The sequence below is a fragment of the Homo sapiens genome, chromosome 2, assembly GCF_000001405.40.
Source record: "Homo sapiens chromosome 2, GRCh38.p14 Primary Assembly".
NCBI lineage: Eukaryota > Metazoa > Chordata > Mammalia > Primates > Hominidae > Homo > Homo sapiens.
In genome coordinates this window covers 127625837-127645736 of record NC_000002.12, presented here as the reverse complement: position 1 = coordinate 127645736, position 19900 = coordinate 127625837, and the positions used below count along the sequence as shown (strand labels likewise).

The following is a 19900-nucleotide window of genomic DNA, read 5'->3' as shown; positions in this document are numbered from 1 at the left end:
GAGTCTTGCTCACGGAGTGAGAGGCGACTCTTTGAGGACACTTGCTGTAGGGTCCTTGTGTCCTGCCCTGTATAATGAGGCCCCATTTGGGCACACAGAATAAATCATGGCCTTTATCTGGAGCGAGGAACAGCTGCAGGAGCCTCATAATGGGGCGCTGTCCTGTCCGTGAGGATGCGGCTCAGCTCAGAGGCCGGGTGCTCGCCGGTGCAGCTCCCCTTCTGCACGGAAGCCCATGAATCTGACCGCTGGCCTGGGGCTCCTCCCTGGGGTGGCTCCGGGCTGGGGTGCCTTTGAATGCTGCCGGCGGCCGCCTCTGAGACTGAGTGAACAAAGTTCATTTCTCTCTGTCTTTCTGAAAATGATACATCCAGCAACATGGGAAACCAAATCACCCTTCCTGGTTTCAAAAGACTTTACATTTTGTTGTTTAAACATTGAAAACTGTATGTATGTGGCTAGCATTTAAGGGGCAGTGTCTTAAATTTGTCTCTTCACATCACCCTGTGCAGCTGGGATTATTGCCCCATTTTACAGACAAGGAAACTGAGGCTCAGGCAAATGAAGAAACTCACCCATCAACAAACAGTAGGAAGCAACAGAGCCAGGATTTGAACCCAAGCACATGTCACTCCAGAACTTAGGCTCCGTGTGTGTGTGTGTTTTGTTTTTCTGCTGCATTTTGAATTTAGAATTCTTAGATTTGATCCTAATTCAACCTGAAAAAGAATTCTGAAGGCCACCTTTAGATCTGATGCTGTGATCTGGTCTGTTGAGAAGCTGTTTCCCATCTGGACTTCCTTCAAGAGAGATGGGCTTCCCAGTTTGTCTGGCCTGAGAGCCAGCTGGGTGTGAGGTGTCTGAGCCGGGGCGCAGGTCTCTTTCCTGTTGTGCCCGCAGGCGGCTGTCTGGAAGAACTGGCCCAGGCTGGTTGGAAAGGTGGTGGCTTGAAGCTAACCACCCTGAGCAGGGCATTTCTGGGCTCACAGACCTTCTGTTATTGGGGTGATCACTGTCGATGGCTTCAAGGGCATTGACCGTGGTGATGGAGTTTTGAGGCGTTGAGCTGATTCCTGCATCTTTGAGACAGAAATAATTCCTCGTGGGTTGAGTGTTGTCCTGACGCTCAGGAGGAGTCACCAGAATGTGGAGTGGGGTCATGGGGCCTACATGCTGAGTCTGGGACAGAGGCACCGCAGGGGGCATGGGCTGGCCGCCATAGGCGCCAGGTGGGGCAGCTCAGCCCCAGACCTGCTGAGGAGGTGGCCTGGGGTTGGGGCTGGGGCACAGGTGTCTGGGCAAGGGTGGGCTTCAGGGATTGTGGTGATGAAGACTGAAGCCACAGGCCACAACTGCTTCCCGTCGCTGGGGTGTAAGAGCCAGGGCTCTGGCCAGTAGTCGAGGGGAGATGATGCCCACCGAGGCTCCCTTCCTCTCTTGTAGAGTCATTCATTCACCGAGGCATTCGGTCAGCTGACCCTGAGCTGTTGCCCCCTGCTGGGCACATAGGGTCTTGGGGAGGCACAGAGAGCCAGTCGGCAGCTTAGCCAGTGACTGCTGGGCCTTTGTTTGGGCCCCTTGCCCTGCACACAGCTGATGATGAGACACCCCAGGGCAGATGGAGCACAGTGCTGTGCAGGATGGAGTCCAGACACCCAGCAGTAGCAGGTCCTGGGGTCCAGGGAGGGATGCTGAATGGGTGGCCCTGGCATCTGGGGTCTGCCCACCATAACCTGGGTGGGGATCTTGGGTCTGCGATTGGATCTCTTCCGTATCCTCCCTGACCAGCCTGTCAGAGGGGCCAACACTGGGCGTCGGGCAGCCGTGGAGGCTCGTGAGGAGTGGAGAGGGCCCCTGGGGCTGGGGGGCCTGGGAAGGGAGGCCTGGATGCAGCAGGAGCACCAGAGAGAGATTCGGGTGGCAGGTGGAGACGGGGGCCAGGGAGGTTGGATTGGGGCCTTTGTGTATCTTTGCCTGGGGACTCTGAATCTAGATTCCTGCCACCTTTGAGGTCCAAGGAAACAGAAACCATGTTGATTTGTCTCTCCGTTGAGAACACAGCTGTCGTCCAACACAGCGAGTAGCATCAGAAATTATTCTGAGGTCTTCACAAAAAGACTCTGTAGTGACAGTTCCTGGGTTTGGGGGCCTCCATCTGACATAGCAGTGCTTGTCTTTGGAGACAGAAATCGCCTGTACGTGTTTGGGCCCTTCTTCATCTGGCAAACCCCGAAGGAAGGGGGTGAGTGGGCCTCCCGGGACACTCACTGGCCACTCTGCTGGGCACAGTGACACTCATTATAACTCGTGTGTGTTAAATACATTGGGAAAATAATGCTTTCAGCAGATATCAATTAAATGTCTACTGTATTCTGCAGCATGCCCCAGGCTTAGAGAAAGTAGAAAGAGGAAAATACCATCCAGAGACAGTAACCTCGAGCATTCTGGCATCTTTCCTGCTGAGCATGCGTCCCATTCCCAGGACACACTTGTGACCTTCTGGGCCTTGTGACAGGGCAGTCTGCTTTCCCATACCCTGGGCTGAGCCCCTTTGAAGCCCCCAGCTGCTCAGTGAAGTTGCAGGGGTCTGGCCTCTCTTCTCCTGGAGGTGGCCAGGCTGTGTGGGAGTGGGGGCTCTGCCCCTAATGCCCCCGCCTCCCGCAGGCATCTCTGCCGGCCTTGCCACAACCGTGAGAAGGCCAAGGGCCTGGGCAAGTACATCTGCCAGCGGTGCCACCTGGTCATCGACGAGCAGCCCCTCATGTTCAGGAGCGACGCCTACCACCCTGACCACTTCAACTGCACCCACTGTGGGTAGGTGCGCAGCCCGGCCCTGCAGTTGTGGGGGCGGGGAGCCAGGGCTGGCCCAGGGTAAGGGCGGTGGGGCCTCCACCTGGGGAAGTGTTGAGGAGGGAGAGGGGAGCAGGGTGGGCAGACAGAGGGGTCCCGAGAGCAAGGCTGCAGGGCAGAGGTGGGCTGGGGGCTGGGAAGCAGCCATGGCAGGAAGCTTCTCTCTCCAGGGCTCTGTTTGGGGGGCACTTGAGACTCAGGAGGCGGGTGGGCTGGACCCCTAGACTGCAGACGAGGGTTGAGATGGAGCAGTGGAAGGGACCTGAGGGGGCAGGGCAAGAGACCGGGAGTGGGCTTGGTGCTGGTGTTGGAGAGAGGAGTTGCATAGGCAGCCCCTCAGCCCCCGTCCTCGCCCACCCCCACCGTCCCCTCCAGTCCTCTCCGTGCCTATCCAGACACCCCCTCTGGTTTGGAGGAGGAGGGGGGCCCAAGAACAGACCTGCTTCTCAGAGGCCTGGGTGCAGAACACAGCCCACTCTTCTGGGCTGTGCAGGAAGTCTGTGCTCCAGGGCCTGTCTGGGGCACAGGAAGTCTTCAAAGTGCCCAGAGATCAGAAGGCGCTGCCGCCTCGGCTCTGCAGGGACAGAATGGGCCCCTCGGGGAGCCGTGCCCTGGGGTGGAGGCGCTGCTGGCATGACCCTGCAGAAGGGCAGGGGTGGCACCTGGGGGCTGCACGCTGTCTTCCAGGAAGGAGCTGACAGCCGAGGCCCGCGAGCTGAAGGGTGAGCTCTACTGCCTGCCCTGCCATGACAAGATGGGCGTCCCCATCTGCGGGGCCTGCCGCCGGCCCATCGAGGGCCGAGTGGTCAACGCGCTGGGCAAGCAGTGGCACGTGGAGGTGAGCCAGGCTGGTGGACACGTGGCCTCAGGTTGGGGGGTGCCCCAGCTCAGGGTCATGGTAAGAGCCCTAAAGCTCCTCCACACTCCCAGCCCAGGGCGGGTGGCTGGCTCCCAACGAGGCCCTTCCTCAGGGGTACTGCCCCTCCCTGTGCTCAGCCAGGGACCCCAGCCTGCCCACGGGAGCCAGGAGACCCGAGTGCACACACACGGTTGGGTAGCTGTGCCCACCTCTCCTCTTCCCCCTGCTGGCATTCTAAGAGACTCCAAGGTCAGGAGAAAACCTTGGGGGCAGTCTGTCCAGAGTGCCTGGGGGTTGTGGATGACAGAACCCGCTGCATGGACAGCCCTGTGCAGACACGGAGCTGAAGAGTTCCTCAGGTGTGAGCACTGGGTCACCTGGAGTGCCCCCACCGGGTGGTGGGCTCTCATGTTCTCATGGGTACACTGGGAACAGTGAGCCCACCACCTCCCCTGATGACCTGGCCAGCGCTGTGTCCGGAAGCTGTGCCTTGGGTGGCGGCTTGGGTGGGAGGCCATGCGGTCCTGCCCTGATGCAGGCCCCAGCCCCCAGCCCTCATCCTCACATGCAGATCCCTGGGGGAATGCAAGGTGCTGCTCAGTGATCCCAGGCTTGCAGGGGGTGCCTGCAGGAGGCCCCACGTGGACAGGCAGGGCCGCCTCTGCCTATGAGGGCCCACCATGCCGCAGCACCAGGCTGGCACCTGACTCCTGGGGCTGAGGCTGCCGAGGGGGAGGCCAGACTGGGAGGGGATGGTGACTCACAAGGTTACCATCAGTGCCTTAGAGGAGGGGTAGGGTCTGCTGACCCCAGGGCATTCACAGAGGTGTCAGTCCCCTCTGCCCAGTGTGAATCCTGAAAGGCCTGCACCTGCCCAGACTCTGCTTTCTGTCCCCTTCTGTCACTGCTGCCTCCTGGGGCCACTGTGGTCCCCTGGAGTCACTGGCTCCTGGGGTCACTGTTGTCCCCGGGTCACCACTGTCCCTCGGGGTCACCGCTCTAGCCCTGATGCCACCCGGCCCGCCCTTTGTCCTTGCAGCACTTTGTCTGTGCCAAGTGTGAGAAGCCATTCCTGGGGCACCGGCACTATGAGAAGAAGGGCCTGGCCTACTGCGAGACTCACTACAACCAGGTGAGCCCGGTGCAGAACCTTCAGGGATGCGGGTCTGGAGGGGTGGCCAGGAGAGCTGCCGTGAGCAAGGGAGGCTGTGGGCACCCCCTCAGGAGCTCTGCCAGGTGCTGAGCCCAGGCCTGCACCCTCAGCCCTGGCTCCTGGCCTGGGGTCTCGAGACCTGGGCAGCTCTCTTCAGTCTCAGTGTCTTCCTTTGAAGAATGTTCTGGGGCTGGTGTGAGGTCCCGGGCACATGGGGCTGACAGTGCCAGCAACCCCCTCCCTCCCTTGCTCTGGTACAGAAGGCAGGGGGCGCTGGTGGGATGCAGTCACCACCTGGGCCCACCTCCTTGCAGGACAGCAGTGGCCAGAGCAGAGGGGCCTTCTGGGGAGCAACGCCCCAGCCTGTTGTCCTTCCCGGAAGGGTGGTTCTCATGGGTTGCCGTGCCCTCAACCCAGCCTTGCAGCTGGGCCCTGGGAGGCAGGGCCTGGGAGATGCCTGAGAGGGGCCGTGTTGGAGGGCCAGGCTGGCTGCATGATGGCCCTGGGCTGGGGTGTGACTGCCTGCAGCTACTCTGACAGCCTGCTCGGCCCACAGCTCTTCGGGGACGTCTGCTACAACTGCAGCCATGTGATTGAAGGCGATGGTGAGGCCCTGTGTTCCCTCCCCCACCCCACCTGCTCTCCTGGGGCCTGGGTGCTGCAGCTGTGAGCCCAGCCGGGCCTGCGGCAGCCTAGCCAGGCCTGCTGAGTCCCACGCTTCCCTCACAGTGGTGTCGGCCCTCAACAAGGCCTGGTGTGTGAGCTGCTTCTCCTGCTCCACCTGCAACAGCAAGCTCACCCTGAAGTGAGTCCCTGTGATCGTGGGATGGGGCTCAGGGTGGAGGGGGCTCCTGCAGGTCCTTCCTCTCAGCAGCCCTCCTGCACACCAGCTGAGTCTGGCCTGGGGATATGGTGGGGACAAGGGGCAGCCCGGCCTTATACCACCCAGGGAGATGGGGGCAGGTTCAGGGGGTCTAGGGGATCCAGGGACCCCAGGGACCCCAGGCACAGTGAGAGGAGGAGGAACACTCATGCCTCCAACACACCTGCCAGAACCCTGGGCTCTGGGGAGGGAAGGGCATTCCAGCTCAGGGAACAGCATATGCAAAAGCAGCAGTGTCAGCTGCTCATCCAGGAAGCCTCGAGGGGTGTGGGATGGCTGGAGCTGGGAGAGGAGAGATGGCGTCCAGGTTTCCAAGGGCTGTGGGGAGGCATAGAGGGTTCTGGGGTTTCAGAACCTGAGAGAAGCCTCTGGGAGGCAAGGGAAGCCTCAAGGCCCTTCTCATCCCTATGCTCTCTGGCCATCTCACCCTAGGGCCTGGCCTGCTGGCTAGGAGAGGCTGGTGTGGGGAGGCTGGGGGCTGAGGGAAGCCCACTCCACAGTCACCTGTCTGGGGTTAAAGGGGTGGGCGTGGGGCTCTGCTGACAGCTCAGCTTCCTCCTCAGGAACAAGTTTGTGGAGTTCGACATGAAGCCCGTGTGTAAGAGGTGCTACGAGAAGTTCCCGCTGGAGCTGAAGAAGCGGCTGAAGAAGCTGTCGGAGCTGACCTCCCGCAAGGCCCAGCCCAAGGCCACAGACCTCAACTCTGCCTGAAGGCCCTCTTGCGCAGCTGCCTCTCGGCCCCTCCGCCTTCTCCCCTCCTGCTGTCCATGCTTGGCCCCCTCGTCCCCATCCACCTGTGCCCTCCGCATCTTACCCTCCCTTTCTCTTTCCTCATTGCCTTCTCCCTTCCTGTTCCCTCATCTCTGCCTTCCCCATGTCTCTCCTCTCCTTGGCCGTGGCTTCTGTCTGTGAGGAGGCAGGAGCTGGGGAGTGGGAGCCTATGACCCCACGTCTGACAGCCATGTCCACCTGTGCCCACAGCTTCCGCCCACAGACCTCCAGGGACAGGAGCAAATTGCACCACAGCTCCCCGCCTGGCCTGGCCCTCCCCAGGCGGCTCAGTGGCTCATGCTGTCCTGTGAGAGCCCCTGCCCCAGAGCGGCCCCACTAAGCGCATGTGGCTCCTGGGCTACCCACAGCCAGGGCAGCCTGCTGGAGCCACAGGGCCAGGGCCATGCAGATGGAGGCCTCTGGGAGCCACCTCCAATCCCTCACCACTCACTCAACCAGTGGCACAGTGTCCTTGTGCCCACACTGAGCCAGCAAGTCCTGCTGTCCACACCCACAAGCTACCTGGAGGGACAGGACCCACCTCCATCCTTCGGAAGGCCTTCCTGGAATCCCACCTTGGCCTCCGCCCTCGGTTCCGCCCCGCCCCTCTCCCCCCGACCTTGGGGCTTGTGTCGAGCCCTTGGGTGGGGCCAGGAGGAGGTGATGGCGTCAGAGGAGGTGTGGTCAGAGGTGACTTGTTCCCACCTCCAGGGAGGACGCTTCGTCTTCGGCCAGCGCAGACCTGGTGTTTGTTTGTTGGGCTCACGCTTGCACAATGAAGGCTTGTTCACACAACCACAGCAGCCTGCGTGGTTTGTGGCGGGGGTCGGGGGTGGAGGGGATGGCAGCAGCTCTGGACACGCTGCTGCTGGGGCAGTTGAACAGAGGGACAGACATAGACAGGCACGAGTTCAGGGGGCCCTAGCCTCTATCCCAGGCCAGGCTGCCATAAGCAGTTGAAGACTAGCCCTGCCAGGTCCTCACAAGCCTGGGTGGCCAGGTCCACATAAGCTGGCCCAGTGGGCAGAGGAGGAGGTGGGCAGGGACAGGGCATGCCAGCGAGGTGGGGGAATCCAGGCCTCCAAGGTGCTATGTCCAGCTCTGCCCACTGTCTGTCTGGGCATAAGCTGGCCATAGCATGAAGCCAGCAGCCAGAGAGCCGCACCTCCACCCTGGCCTCCTGGGGGTAGCGCAGGCGTATCAATGCCCCGGGTGGGGAGAAGGACAGAAGGTGTGAGGAGGGGCCTGGGAGGAGAACTCTCCCATGAGTGCCCCTCCCCAGTCTGAGAAACAGGAAGGAAGGAAGGGAGGGGGAGGAAGGAAGCAGAAAGGGAGGGATGAAGTCATTTCTGGAGAATGCAGCTGCCCTCCGGGTTCCCTGGGGGAGTCAGTCACACGGCATTTTGGTTTTTCTGCAGCTCTCTGCGGGCCAGAGCCTCCCAGGCCCCCTGTCCACCTTGTGCCACACCCTGCTCCCTCAGACAGACACACTTCTCCTGCTCCAGGAGTTTTTATTGAACATTCTGGTGGGGTGGGGTGGGGTTGGGAGGTGTCCTGTCAGTCAGTCATCCACCAATAGCCTGGGGGTCCGAGACTCCCGACCCCATTCTGGGCCCGTCTTTTGGCCTCCCTGGGCAGCGCCCAGGACAGAGGGGGCCGCCTGCGGGGCTGAGTGGGCTTTGTATGGGGGGCAGCATGGAAGGCTGCCCGCCAAGGACAGGCCCTGGGTTGAGAGGGCCTGGGAAGGTGCCGCCAGGCTAGAGGTCGGGAAGGGCGCCTGAGCAGACACGCCAGCATCCGCTGCTAGGTGCTGGCCAGGGCTGGGGCCTTGGAGCCCCGCTGCTTGTTCATGGCACTCAGGAGCTGCTGCACATATGAGGTCAGCAGGTCATCCATCTTATAGCCCTGGACAGGGGACGGGGGGGTCAGAGGCTGTGGGTGCAGAGGGCAGGTGGGGGTCCTGGACTCAGGGACCACCTTCTCTTCCTCAGCAACCAGCAGTGCAGGGCATGGAGAAAGGGAAGGCGGGCTCCTGCCATTGGGGCCGTCATTTCTGCTTGCCCTGCTGGAGCTGGGTCTCCCTCCCTCCTTGGAATGGGCCAAGGGCGCAGGGGGTCCCGCCTGGCCTTGCCACCTTGGCTGCTGGTCCTGGGGATGCACCCAGGCCCTCTCCAGATCTGCTGGCCCCGCCTGGGCCCTGTGACTGAGCCCTCTTAGTGAGCCACTTGAAAGGGGTGAGGGTGGGGAACCCAGTCTCCAGCAGCTCTGTCCTATGCATCTTGGATGGGAGAAAGAACCTGAGCTCACCAGGGAGGTCTCGCACAGCAGGCGGCTGCCACGGCCCAGGCTCCCCAGCGCCATGTGGAAGTAGGTGCTGCCGCTGCTCCAGCTGGAGATCTTGGTGAAGGGATAGGTGGTGAGCAGGTCCTGGGGGCAGAGAGGGTGGGTGGGCCGGACGCCTCCAGAGCACGGGCTCTGTGTGTGTTAGGGGACAGGAGAGAGGCAGGACACACCGCAGAGATGACTGCAGCCCCACCTGCACAGGTCCCTGGACCTGGTGGCCCCCAGCCCCTCCGGAGGCCCAGCAGCTACCTTGGTCTTGGGGTGGATGAGCAGAACCCCATGTCGGTTGATGGCGATGAGGATGACGTCCGGGTAGGAAGGCTCCGAGGTTTGCTGGGAGGGAGGGACACGGCGGTCATAGTCCAGCCCGGGAGGCCAGGCTGCACCTCCCAGGAGCTCATCTAGGCCACACGCACATACACACATACACCCACGCCCTCCAGCCTCACGGCCAGCCCCACCCAAGATGTGTGCTGGTTGACGCTGGGCCTGCTGGGGCTGGGCTGAGCGGAGCCTGCTTGGGTAGGAGGCCCTGGCGTGGGGCAAGGTTTACCTTCACCTCGAAGAAGGCGGATCCGAAGGTGGGCCACCGGCAGATCCACTTCAGGAAGGCCACCTTGGCCTCCTCCACTGTCTTGTCCTTATGCTTGTCATAGGCTAGAAGGATGCTCTGGGGGACAGGAGGGCCAGTAAGGACTTGGGTGCCCAGAGGCCCTCCAAAGCCCTGGTGGGGGCAGCACCTGCCTACCCCAGGGCTAGTACGGTGGGGAGGGGAGGGGAGGAATGCAGCATGGGACAGTCTCGGTGCTGTGGATGGCATAGGAAGGCGTGGTGTGTGCAGAGCCAGCCCACCCTCCACACCACCCATGTGCACCCATGTGATCTTGGAGCCCAGGCAGGGCATGGCACTGGTGCAGGGGCCCAGGGAGGAGCAGCAGCACAAGAACCCTTCCCCAGCCCGACCAGGGACCTTTTTCCACTCCTCCGAGGACATCAGGCGTGTGAGGTTCTCAGGCACCAGTTCCCTCAGGATCTTGGGGACACTAGCCAGCTGGGACCGGTCGTTGTTGAACTGGGCCTTGTAGATGAGGCCCGCCAGGTGGATGGCATCCTCCCGCGAACACTTGTGGAATCCGCGCAGGTACTTGGGCAGCTCCTGGGTGATGGACACACTGGGCATGCTGGGTCTCCAGCTGCGGCCCACCCGCCCCCAACCTCTTTCCCGCTCAGATGGTGGGGAACTGGGGCTTAGCCCACTCCATCCAGGACGGACTGAGCAGGGTAGAGAGTTTCAGGCCAGGGGAATGACCCTGAGTCAGGGCAGGGCCCCCTGACATCTGCGTGGAGGTGATGGCCTGCTCCACCCATGTGGTTGGCCCTGCAGGCCACGGCCACTGCTCCATGGGTCACAGGACCCTCTGTCCCACCCTCTCCAAGTCATGCTGCAGGTGCCAGTGCAGTCACTGTCCCCAAACATTGCTGCCCTCTGCTCCTGGTTCCAGAGCCCTCAGGGGCTTGGTCTGCCTACCACATGGGCTGGTACCCAGGGCTGAGGCTGGCCCTGCCCTGGCCTGCTGGCTTCTACAGCCTCAGAACAGGTGTGGGAAGATGGGGGTGGCCCCAGTGCCCACCAGGGCAGCCTGCCCGGTACCTGGTGGTAATGGAGTATGGTGTCTGCATTCACATCCTTCCCTGGAGATATGTTGAGCCACAATTTCCGCATGAAGTACACCTGGTAGGGGAGCGTCACGGGGGCCCCTGGGCGAGGGCCAGCAGTGGGCACCAAGCCTGTCCCAGCAGGTACACCAGCCCTGACCCCCTGCCACCCCCCACACTGCGCCTGCCACCTCCCTGCCTCGAAAGCCCCCACGCTTCTTCCTCCCCAGTCCCCACATTTTCCTTCAATATTAGTGTAGAGGCTGCCTTCTCCAGGAACATTCCTGGACTCGCACTCCCAGCCCATGAGGGTCATGCCCCTCAGCCCTGGGGCATCCTTCATCACTCCAAGGTGCAGCCACCTGTTTCTGCCTGAGCTGGCCCTCACCGCCGGGCCCCAGGGCCTGGTTGTTCCCACAACCCAGGGACACACGGGAACGAATGGATGGATGAATGGGCATGGGCCGCACAGAGGCCGCCAGTGCCCCCTCGACCCACCCAGCCACGCCCTCCCCCAGCTCCACAGAGGCCTCCTCACCTTCTTTCTGGGGCTTGTTCTTCTTCACCCAGTCAGACACCTCCCTCAAGGAATCAAAGAAGAAGTCTCCCTCCTTCTGGCTGATGACCTGGGGAAGGGGAAGGTACAGGGAAGTTGGGTGGCTTCCGGGGACTGTCCTCCTGAGAACCTGCTGGGTTCTGGTCCAGTGGCCGCCTACGGCCTGGGTGCTGCGCTGGAGTCGGCTGTGCGTGGGCTATTGGCGTGTGGAGCTGGCTCTGCTCCAGGACCCCACCTACCTCTGTCCCAGCAGCCCTGGCCGTGCAGCCTGGTCCAGCATGGGTGCCCCTGGTAGGCTGAGGCCCCCACAGGCAGCACCTAGGGCCTCGCTCACTGCCCGTCCGCCCACCGTCTGCCCAGCCCCAGCCCGGCCCACCTTGTCTGAAATCTTGATGAAGAGGCTGCAGCCCTCCCAGGAGGCCAGCTGCAGCCTGGTGGCAATGCTGTCACACACATCCCGCACCCGTGTGTTGGCAACCACCTCCAGCATCTGGACAGAGAGGCAGCTGGTGAGGCCCGGGGCCTGGCTAGGGGCCAGTACAGCCCAGGATGAGCCTTCCTAGCCTGGCACTTTTGCTCCTTCATGAAACTTGGGTTGGATGTGGTCTGCCCTGAGCAGGGCAAGCCTCCCTTCCAGAACCCTGGCCAGAGGTTCATGTTGTTTAGTCCCAGCATTCGCTGTCCTGGGGCCCTGCAGGCCTGGCCTTTTGACTCGCCTTGAGAGCCCAGCAGCCAGACTGTGGGAACTTCCTGTTACCGGGACCCGAATATCAAGGCCAAAAAGACCATTGTGCTGTTGGAGAGGGCGCGAGGCGACACTGCCCACTTTGGCCTCTCAGCCCGCTTGTCTTTGCTGCCCCTGATCAAGGCCTCTGTGTCACGGTGGGGTCCTGGTGGTCTCCTACCTGCCCCCTGGCCCCTTTGTTCCCCCAGCAGCCATGGCAGGCTCTGTGCACAAGGCACACACAGTGGGAATACCTGCTCTCCTGCACCCCAGATGGTCAGAAGCCCCTAGGGGCCCCCAAGTCCTGGGACTCACCCTTGCTGCCCACCCCTCTGTCCTCTCCTGTGTCCTGGGCCTGGATCCCCCAACTCATACCTTGGGACTGGCCTGACTTCCAAAGCACCCAAGGGCAGGTGGGGCCTGCATCCCATGGGGAGAGGGCGGGAGACTGGTTAGGATGGGACAGCCCTAGAAAAGGCTCTCTGGGGTTACCAAGGAGCAGGCTGGGCCAGGAAGGAGGATGCCCCATGGCCTCTGGAGGCCTGAGACTTGCCGTGCAGACCAGAGCAGGGCCTCACCTCACTGGTGTCATTGGGGAAGTAGATCTTGTGGCAGATGCGGGAGACGTTCTGCTCTGCGGCCTCCACCTCCACCTGGTGCGGGGGCTGCTTCCGGGGCCCCGTCCTGAGGGGGACAGCGTGTGCTGCAGGTGCCACCCCCACCCTCATCCTCACCCATGCCCCAGCCCCGATGTGGGCCCTAAACCATGTGCCAGAAACAAAAGAAAACCCCAGTGACCATCACTGGGGTGGTTCCAGCCCCTCGCATGTCCTGGGGGCTGCCCCTGGCTCCACGCGGCCTCAGAGGTAGTGATGGTGCAGCTGTGCCTGAAAGCCTGGGGCACACACGGGGAAGGGCCAGGCCAGGGGCTCCCGGGAAGGCGCCGGCAGGAAAGGCTGGCAGTATTCTTATTCTCGCACAACAGGGGCATCGGGCAGGGGCCAGGGACTCTGGCAGGGCCTCTATGGGGCGCCCACCTCTCTCTGTGACCACGGCTGCCACTGAAATTATGGCCACTCCTACAGTCAACCTGCCCTCCTCACGGCCACAGGAGGCCAAGCCAGAGGAGGCAGGAGGGGTGGGGGAGAGCAAAGACGGCCAAGGAAGAGCTTCACGGCTGTGGGCGGATGAGGGAGGCCGCATGGACTTGGAAGGATGGGCCTCTGACCTCAGCCTTGAGGGCCTGGGCTGGGGCATCCAGGTTTCTCTCTATCCCTCAGGCAGTGCCTCTGTGCCACTGCTGGGCAGTGGTGGGGCAGGGGAGCTGGTGGCTATGACTGAGCCTTCTCTTGACCCTCCTGGGCCTCACCCTCCACCCTCTTCTCTGGCAGCTCGGGGCCCAATCCTGCCTGCCAAGCTGACACTGGCTTCTGGAGAGTCCTCCCAGGACCATGAGCTCCTGGAAGGCTGGCCAGGCCCCACAGCATCCCAGGTCTGCGGGCCCAGGGCCAATGCTGGGGGCTGGAGGCACTGGGCTCACCTCAGGACCTTCTGGATTCGGCGGCTGCAGTCGGGGGCCAGCAGCTTCCCCCTCCGAGTGTCTATAAACTTCTGGGCATGGGGCAGCAGCCCCTTGCTGGGCGGGAAGAGGCCCGTGCACAGCCACAGCAGCTGCCAGCCCCGCTCTTCGCTGTGCCTGAAGGGTAGCACTTGTCAGCCGGGAAAGGCCCCTCAGGGGGCCCTGGCCAGGCAGGCACCTTGGGGAGCAGGGACGGATGTGAGAGCTGCCTGGGGTCTAGAGGGCCCGAGGGGGAGGGCACCTGCCAGGCTGCACCATGCCAGCTGTGCCAGGCTGCCCGATGCCACGGGCTTTCACACCCTCAAGATGGGGGCGGGTGGGCATTGCACCCATTTTGTGGAAGACGACACTGAAGCTCAGAGAGGTCATGGCCTGCCAGGTCACACACAGAGGGTGGGAGTGGGCAGGGCCATCCTCTCCTGCTCTGACCACCCCTAGGACATCAGCAGAGCAGACCAAGGGCCCAACCCTTCCCACTGCTGAGGCAGGAGCCCAGGCAGGGGTTCTGCCGCCACCAGCTGCGGTGTCCTCTCTGAGCCTCGGTCTGGCCTCAGGGGCCGGGATGAGGACTGAGGGTGCCCGCGTGGGCTGGCCGCCGCCCCAGCAGACCTGTTGGAGTTGTGCGTCAGCTGCTTCAGGATCTGGCAGTAGACCTCGTCCTGGAGGGCCGGGTGCTGCAGGGCCAGTGTGAAGATCTGGTCGGTGAGCTCCAGGGTGGGCCAGGCCTGCCGAGAAGGGTAGTCGCCCATGTACCGGAGGATGGGTGTGGCTGTCAAGGAGCACAGTGCTGGGGCAGCCCCACGCTGACACAGACTGGGGATAGACGCTGACCCCGACCCCGGCCCTGCGGTGAGCCATGTGTGGGCTCTGTCCCGCCACTCCAGGTTTCTCAGATCTCCTGGGCTCTCCTGCCCTAGAGCACAGCTGTAGGGCCAGGATGTGCTGGGTGCCTCTGCCCTGGCATTGACGAGGTGCAGGCAGGCTGGTGGGGAAGGATATCGACAAAGATCTGGCAGGCGATGTCCCAGAGGTCGACGTTGGCGTGGACTCGCTTGAGCAGCGGCTGTCGCAGCGGCTCGCAGGAATAGGCCCACAGGTGGCCACGGGCACGGGCCAGGGGCAGCACGGCCATGCTCACCATGTCCTTCTCTGGAGCCCTGTGAGGTTAGAGGCTGGTGTGAGGCCTGCCCTGTGGCCTTCTCTGTCCCACGCTTCTCTGTCCTCTGACACCCCTGAGTGGCTGTGGGAGGGCCAGAGCACCCCACCCTGCCGCAAGCCCCTCCTGACTCCCCTGGCCTGGGAAGGCCAGGCAGGCTCCACATGGGTGGCGTGGCCTCTCTGCAGCTCTCAGTGGGTGCAATGAGGTGGAGCGGGGCTGGGAGCAGGGGGTGCAATGAGGTGAGGTGGGGCTGGGAGGTGGGGGTGCAATGAGGCGGAGCGGGGCTGGGGGGCACCTGAAGAACTCATAGGAGAACTCCTCCAGGGTGTGCAGCTTTTCCTTGGGTGGCTCCTCAGGACGTGGCTCTGTGAACTGCCCCTCCTGAGCCGCCAGCTTCCTCTTCTCTGGTGACATGGCAAGCAAGCTCTGAAGGGGGCACAGGCCTGTGGGTGCCCAGGAGCCACCGCCCATGAGGCCCTTCCTGCAGGCTCCTCCCGGCCTGGCAGCCTCAGTGACTTGGGAGGGGTCAGGCCCAGGGCTGAACAGGCCAGGGCTTACCCACACCCCTGTCACCTGCCGTGTGACCCAGGACCATGACTCTACCTCTTGGTGCCTGTCTCCTTTCCCTTGGGAGGGTGAGTGCCAATGGCTGTGGCACCCACATCACCCGTTCTGGGGGCCACGGCACTCTGGGTTTCTCAGACCCCCAGCTCCCCAGCTCCCCTTCTCCATGGGGCCACCTCTCACCCCAGCCCTGCCTGCCTAGTCTGCCACCAACTTCAGGCCTCAGCACAAATGTCCCTCCCTCGGGGATGCCTTCCCAGACAGGGTAAGTTCCCCACCCTATTATTTGTTCCTCTCCTTGGTGGCACTTTGCACAGTTGCCATCCATGTGTCATTATCTGCCCAAATGTCTGCCCTGAGGGTGGAGCTGCTATTATGCCCAGACTCGTACCACAGGCACAGGGCACATACTCAGCACTCAGTATGTACATGTTGCAATGCCTGCCATTCCTGCCTCCGGAGAGGCTGGTCTTGGGGGCTGGGGTGGGTGGTTCCCTTGTGCAGGGAGAGACTTGAGTCCCCCTGGGTCAGAGTGTAAATGAGGCAGAGAAAGATTGGGTTTGTCCCCCGGACACCCCCATGATGGAAGAGGGAGGGAACACCCATTTATTGAGGACCTACTAAGTACCAAGAGCTGGGCTGGCACTGCACACACACCTTGCCGCAGGAATGGTGGGGGCTGCCCGGGTGGCCCTCCTGGCCTCTGCTAGGTGGGCTGCAGGCCCTGAGCTAGGCCTCCCAACTAGGCATCCCAGGACTGCTCCACCCTGACCTCGGGTACCCAGGCTGAGGACAGGGGAGCGTGCCAGTTACCAGCAGCTGTGCCGAGGGCTTAGTGACCGTGGGGATGGTGTAGAGGCAGGCCATGGGCACCAGCCCCGTCTTGCCTGTCCTGTCGTTCTGGCCGAGGGTCCAGTTCTCAGAGGCCAGCAGCCCCTGCTTCTTTGTGAGGACCAACAGGTCCCCCTTCTTGAAGGCCAGGAGGGTGGTGTCATCTGTAAGGGCAGGGAGGCTATTTGCTGAGGGCTCTGCAGGGGCCAGAGGCTGTGCTGGAATTTTGTGGGTCATCTCCTTTGACAGATGAAACCGAGGCATAGAGTGGTGGGCAGAAGACCACTCCAAGAGTGAGCGATGGTGGGACTGGAACCTCAGGGGCCTCAGACGGCTGTCACCTGCTGCAGCTGCACAGGCACAGAGCCCAGGGTGGGTGGGGGCTCGAGAGCTCTGACTGCAGCCCTAGCCCTGGGAGACCCTCGGAGGGCTGACCAGGAGCCAGGGATGAGGGAGGGGAGGATGCACAGGCTGGCAGTCCCCACGCCTGGCCTGAGTGCTGCCTGCCTCTCTAGACCCCTTCCTTATCTGGAATTTGGAGATGGCAATCCTCTTTCCCTCCTGCGGTGGCCGTGAGGACTGAATGGGGCGATAGGGCAGCACATCTCGGCTGACATTTCTCACTGCCCAAAGACCCCACACACAGCCTCTTCTGCTACATCCCAACCAGCACCCCCTTCTGAAGTCCCTGCACTAACCACACCACCCACCGCCCATGACCACCCGGCCAGCAGGCTGGCCCAGCGGGGGTCCTGGGGCTTTGCCATGCTCCCCCATAGCCCACAGACACAGCCCAGCTCTCGATGGAGTGCTGGCTTGTGGGAGAGCTGTGGCCAAGAACTAGGCTCCCACCCCCTTGAGCTGTGTGACCCTGGGTGAGCTACTTCCATCTCTGGGCCTCTGGCCTCACGTCTGTAAAATGGGATAATGGGGTGCTTTTGCAGCAGTGCGCTGTGGGGATGGTGTTCAAAACTTCCCTGGGCTGGGGGCTGGCCTTTCTCAGTGCTTCTGCAGCAGTGCAGCGCTGAGCATGGCTGGCCTATGCAGGGCTGGAGACCACCTCCTTTAGCCCCTCATTTTGTAGAAGAGGAAGCAGTGGCTGAAAGAAGGCAGGGCCTTGCCTAAAGCTGCCCCCACAGAGCTTTGGGGCCTTCCCTCCCTCTGCTTGCCTTGTGGCTGCTGTGTGGAGATGAGCATGCCACCTACCTACAGACCCCATGCGCGGCCCTCCCCCACCCCACCCCACCCCACCCCACCCCACCCAGTCTGGCACCTGTGGCCTTCCTGTCCTGCAGGGCCATGGCGAAAATGGACCTCTCCTTCAGGCCCTCCAGGAACAGGGCCACCAGCTCAGCGATGGCCACACTGCTGGGTGACACAAACTCGTACTCCTCATGCATCGTGGAGAGCAGCAGCCTCTGCCCGCCCTGGGCCTCCCTGGAGATGAAGGACAGCGTGACCAGGAGCCCCCTCCACCTTCCCCTGATCCAGCCCCTAAACAGCCTCGGGAGGTGGGGTTGGGGGTCCTGAGTCACAGATGAGGACACAGAGCTGCTCTGCCAGGGCCAGGACTAGGCCAGACACCACTGTGGGTCTGGACAAATGAAGGACGGCGGAGCACAGGACCTCTCGGAGGCTGAGAGTGGTGCAGCCCATGTGTGGGGTTGGCTGTGGGCAGATAATGAGGTGGCTGGTGTGCAGTGACACCGCAGGGACACTGCAAAGGTCAGAGCTGAGATGAGCTGCCGGCTCTGCCATGTGCTTACTCTGAGCCACCTAACCTCGGCGTGCTTCAGTTTACTCATCCGCTCATCTGCAGAATGGGTGATGCTGTCGGTACTTCGTGGCATACAGGAAAGTGCCCAGCATGGTCAGCCTCAGTGAGAGGTGGCCAGTGGGGAGTGGTGGCCACTGTACACCTGGCACAGCCCAGAGATGCATGTGCCACTCTGTTGTGTGCTTCAACCAAGGGGCGCTCTGGCAGGGCTTGGGTGGGACTTCCCAAAGGGCATGGAAAAGTTCCCAGTCAATGAGATCCATGGAGACCCATGGGAGTGGGGGTCAGCCCCAGCCTAAGAGGACCCCCAGCCCTGCCCTGTGCCCCAGGACACACCAGGCACTGTCCCTTGTCGCCTTCCCAGACAACCTGTACCCTCCAGGCCACCAGTTCTCGTCCATGACAAAGAAAGGAGCCTTCTAAATAAGTGCCCGCCAGAGGCTGCACGCTTCCCTGCCCCTTCCGGGTGGACCTGGGTTTCAAAGAGAAGCTGCCAGTGCAACGCGTGATGCCCCAATGGAGTACTTCATGGGCAGTACGGCCTGGTGCAGGAGGGTGGGGCTCCGAAGTACAGAAGCCATCGCATACGTAGATTCTTGTCCCTCCACCCCGGCCTGTTACCCGGGACGGCACACTGCCCCTCTCCCCATCTCTCCCCGAGCCCCCAGATGCATCACAAGGACTCAGTGTGTAAGAAGAGATCTTCCCTCAGGGCCCGCACCTGTTGGTGGCCAGACCCATGACCTCTGGGAAAGAGAGTTCCAGCAGCATCTTCTCCTGCTGGTCCAGGAAGCAAAGCCCCTTCCAGTTAACAGCCAAGATCAGCTGCGTCTTGGGCAGGCGGGGGCCTGGCCAGGAGAGACGGCAGTGTGAAGGCTGCATGGGACCCCTGGGTGCCCAGCCCATACCTGCTCCCTGCCCCCTGTCAGATGCCATTACCTGAGAGTGTGATGACTTCGAAGAGCCGGGAGAAGAGCAGCGGCCACTGCAGGCGGGCGGCGTCCACCACCTGCTCTCGCACGGCCAGTGGTGTGACTTGCTTCTGAGTGTATGGGGCCTGAGGGGGGATCCTGGATGTCACCTCCGTCACCTGCCTTCCCTAGTGAATCCCTCACCTAGTGCTCAGGGTAAAAGAGTTGATGGATCCTTCTGAGAAGGCTCTACAAGGCCAGTGTCTGGAGATGGATCCTGTAGGGAGGCACCTGGGACGTCCCCAGGGACTGGTGCAGCCCTATCCTTTTTTTTTCTTTTTTGAGACAGAGTCTCGCTCTGTCACCCAGGCTGGAGTGCAGTGGTGCGATCTTGGCTCACCGCAAGCTCCGCCTCCCGAGTTCAAGCGATTCTTCTGCCTCAGCCTCCCGAGTAGCTGGGACTACAGGCGCGTGCCACTGCGCCTGGCTAATTTCTGTGTTTTTAGTAGAGGGGGTCTTGCCACCTTGGCCAGGCTGGTCTCAAACTCCTGACCTCAGATGATCCACCTGCCTTGGCTTCCCAAACTGCTGGGATTACAGGCATGAGCCACCACGTCCAGCCTGGCGCCACCCTATTCTACCTGGGAGGGGTGTGGGGACCCTTTAGGAGGAGGGAGGAAGGCCATCCCGTCCCCTCATTAGCATCTGTAGGGCGGGGCTGCGCTAGCTGTGGAAGGCGCTGTCTGTGTGCCCCAGCCCAGGCTCGCTCTTGCCAGCCTATGCCTTGCAGGATTGTGACTCGTTCCGTGCAGGAGGGCATCTTGCTCCGAGTCTGTGTCCCGGGTGCCTCTCTTCTTTCTTCTCTGGAGCTCTTCTGTGTCTCTGGGGGCCTCTCTCGGGGACCACCTCTAGCTCCTTGTCTTCCAGTCTCCTTCCTTCCTCTTTCCTAACTCCCCACCTTCACCCGTTCCTCTCCCCAGCACCACTGTGCTGTGTCCATCACCGACTATAATATCCAACCGAACTCTCTTTTCACTGTTGAATACAGCGTTATTTCTTAGAAAAGTGGCTGGGTACTATTCATATACTGGCTTTGGGAATGTAATAAATGCATCAAATCTGAAGGGTGATTTGAAAATATTCGATATGTATCGAATGTTTAGAATGTCCATACACTCTGGCCTGGGGGGTTCCCATGCACCCAGCGAGGGGATGCTGAGGCCCAGAGGCAGGCAGGGGGGCCCCCAAGGCCATGGTATGGTCAGCAGTCAGCCACTGCAGGTG

The 19900-nt window shown here is 62.0% G+C and overlaps 2 protein-coding genes and 1 long non-coding RNA gene across 32 annotated transcripts in view, besides 7 other annotated features; 2 read left to right on the top strand and 1 right to left on the bottom strand.

Annotated features, from left to right (window-relative positions):
* The window catches only part of LIMS2 (LIM zinc finger domain containing 2), a 43361-nt gene extending 36050 nt beyond the window's left edge, over positions 1-7311 (top strand). For 14 of the 18 annotated variants that reach the window (NM_001161404.2, XM_006712627.5, XM_005263710.3 and 11 more), the window contains 6 exons: positions 2665-2814; positions 3538-3688; positions 4749-4841; positions 5419-5467; positions 5592-5667; positions 6309-7311. In NM_001161404.2, coding sequence (NP_001154876.1) covers positions 2665-2814; positions 3538-3688; positions 4749-4841; positions 5419-5467; positions 5592-5667; positions 6309-6456 — 667 coding nt within the window. In that variant the 3' untranslated portion in view covers positions 6457-7311. Of the gene's footprint in view, positions 1-2664; positions 2815-3537; positions 3689-3712; positions 4069-4748; positions 4842-5390; positions 5468-5591; positions 5668-6308 lie in introns of those variants that run through there. The other 4 variants (XM_047444970.1, XM_011511453.2, XM_017004469.2 and 1 more) reach the window with 3 other exon arrangements.
* Positions 6098-7043: an enhancer, noted in NCBI's record as "H3K27ac-H3K4me1 hESC enhancer chr2:128396269-128397214 (GRCh37/hg19 assembly coordinates)". NCBI's record gives its function as "activates a minimal SCP1, AML or CMV promoter by ChIP-STARR-seq in naive H9 embryonic stem cells {active_cell/tissue: H9 hESC(naive)}" and the evidence as "EXISTENCE:reporter gene assay evidence [ECO:0000049][PMID:30033119]".
* Positions 7044-7990: an enhancer, noted in NCBI's record as "H3K27ac-H3K4me1 hESC enhancer chr2:128395322-128396268 (GRCh37/hg19 assembly coordinates)". NCBI's record gives its function as "activates a minimal SCP1, AML or CMV promoter by ChIP-STARR-seq in primed H9 embryonic stem cells {active_cell/tissue: H9 hESC(primed)}" and the evidence as "EXISTENCE:reporter gene assay evidence [ECO:0000049][PMID:30033119]".
* Positions 7991-8937: an enhancer, noted in NCBI's record as "H3K27ac-H3K4me1 hESC enhancer chr2:128394375-128395321 (GRCh37/hg19 assembly coordinates)". NCBI's record gives its function as "activates a minimal SCP1, AML or CMV promoter by ChIP-STARR-seq in primed H9 embryonic stem cells {active_cell/tissue: H9 hESC(primed)}" and the evidence as "EXISTENCE:reporter gene assay evidence [ECO:0000049][PMID:30033119]".
* The window catches only part of MYO7B (myosin VIIB), a 102044-nt gene continuing 90154 nt past the window's right edge, over positions 8011-19900 (bottom strand). For 4 of the 13 annotated variants that reach the window (XM_011511218.3, NM_001393586.1, NM_001080527.2 and 1 more), the window contains 17 exons: positions 18645-18762; positions 18427-18553; positions 17202-17365; positions 15911-16092; positions 14829-14959; positions 14374-14531; positions 13984-14137; positions 13336-13491; positions 12374-12479; positions 11448-11561; positions 11054-11141; positions 10511-10617; positions 9830-10015; positions 9413-9529; positions 9109-9192; positions 8824-8943; positions 8011-8421 (listed from right to left, as the gene is read on the bottom strand). In XM_011511218.3, the coding sequence (XP_011509520.1) occupies positions 8320-8421; positions 8824-8943; positions 9109-9192; positions 9413-9529; positions 9830-10015; positions 10511-10617; positions 11054-11141; positions 11448-11561; positions 12374-12479; positions 13336-13491; positions 13984-14137; positions 14374-14531; positions 14829-14959; positions 15911-16092; positions 17202-17365; positions 18427-18553; positions 18645-18762 (2214 nt within the window). In that variant the 3' untranslated portion in view covers positions 8011-8319. Of the gene's footprint in view, positions 8944-9108; positions 9193-9412; positions 9530-9829; positions 10016-10510; positions 10618-11053; positions 11142-11447; positions 11562-12373; positions 12480-13335; positions 13492-13983; positions 14138-14373; positions 14532-14828; positions 14960-15910; positions 16093-17201; positions 17366-18426; positions 18763-19900 lie in introns of those variants that run through there. The other 9 variants (XM_047444435.1, XM_047444436.1, XM_047444438.1 and 6 more) reach the window with 5 other exon arrangements.
* Positions 8938-9884: an enhancer, noted in NCBI's record as "H3K27ac-H3K4me1 hESC enhancer chr2:128393428-128394374 (GRCh37/hg19 assembly coordinates)". NCBI's record gives its function as "activates a minimal SCP1, AML or CMV promoter by ChIP-STARR-seq in primed H9 embryonic stem cells {active_cell/tissue: H9 hESC(primed)}" and the evidence as "EXISTENCE:reporter gene assay evidence [ECO:0000049][PMID:30033119]".
* Positions 12181-12410: an enhancer, noted in NCBI's record as "active region_16498". NCBI's record gives its function as "activates an Ori minimal core promoter by ATAC-STARR-seq in GM12878 lymphoblastoid cells {active_cell/tissue: GM12878}" and the evidence as "EXISTENCE:reporter gene assay evidence [ECO:0000049][PMID:35858748]".
* Positions 12681-12730: a silencer, noted in NCBI's record as "silent region_11935". NCBI's record gives its function as "represses an Ori minimal core promoter by ATAC-STARR-seq in GM12878 lymphoblastoid cells {active_cell/tissue: GM12878}" and the evidence as "EXISTENCE:reporter gene assay evidence [ECO:0000049][PMID:35858748]".
* Positions 12831-12920: a silencer, noted in NCBI's record as "silent region_11934". NCBI's record gives its function as "represses an Ori minimal core promoter by ATAC-STARR-seq in GM12878 lymphoblastoid cells {active_cell/tissue: GM12878}" and the evidence as "EXISTENCE:reporter gene assay evidence [ECO:0000049][PMID:35858748]".
* MYO7B-AS1 (MYO7B antisense RNA 1) lies at positions 14953-19740 on the top strand. The gene is made up of 3 exons (XR_923314.3): positions 14953-15362; positions 16178-16300; positions 17224-19740. It is a non-coding gene; the product is annotated as an MYO7B antisense RNA 1 (long non-coding RNA).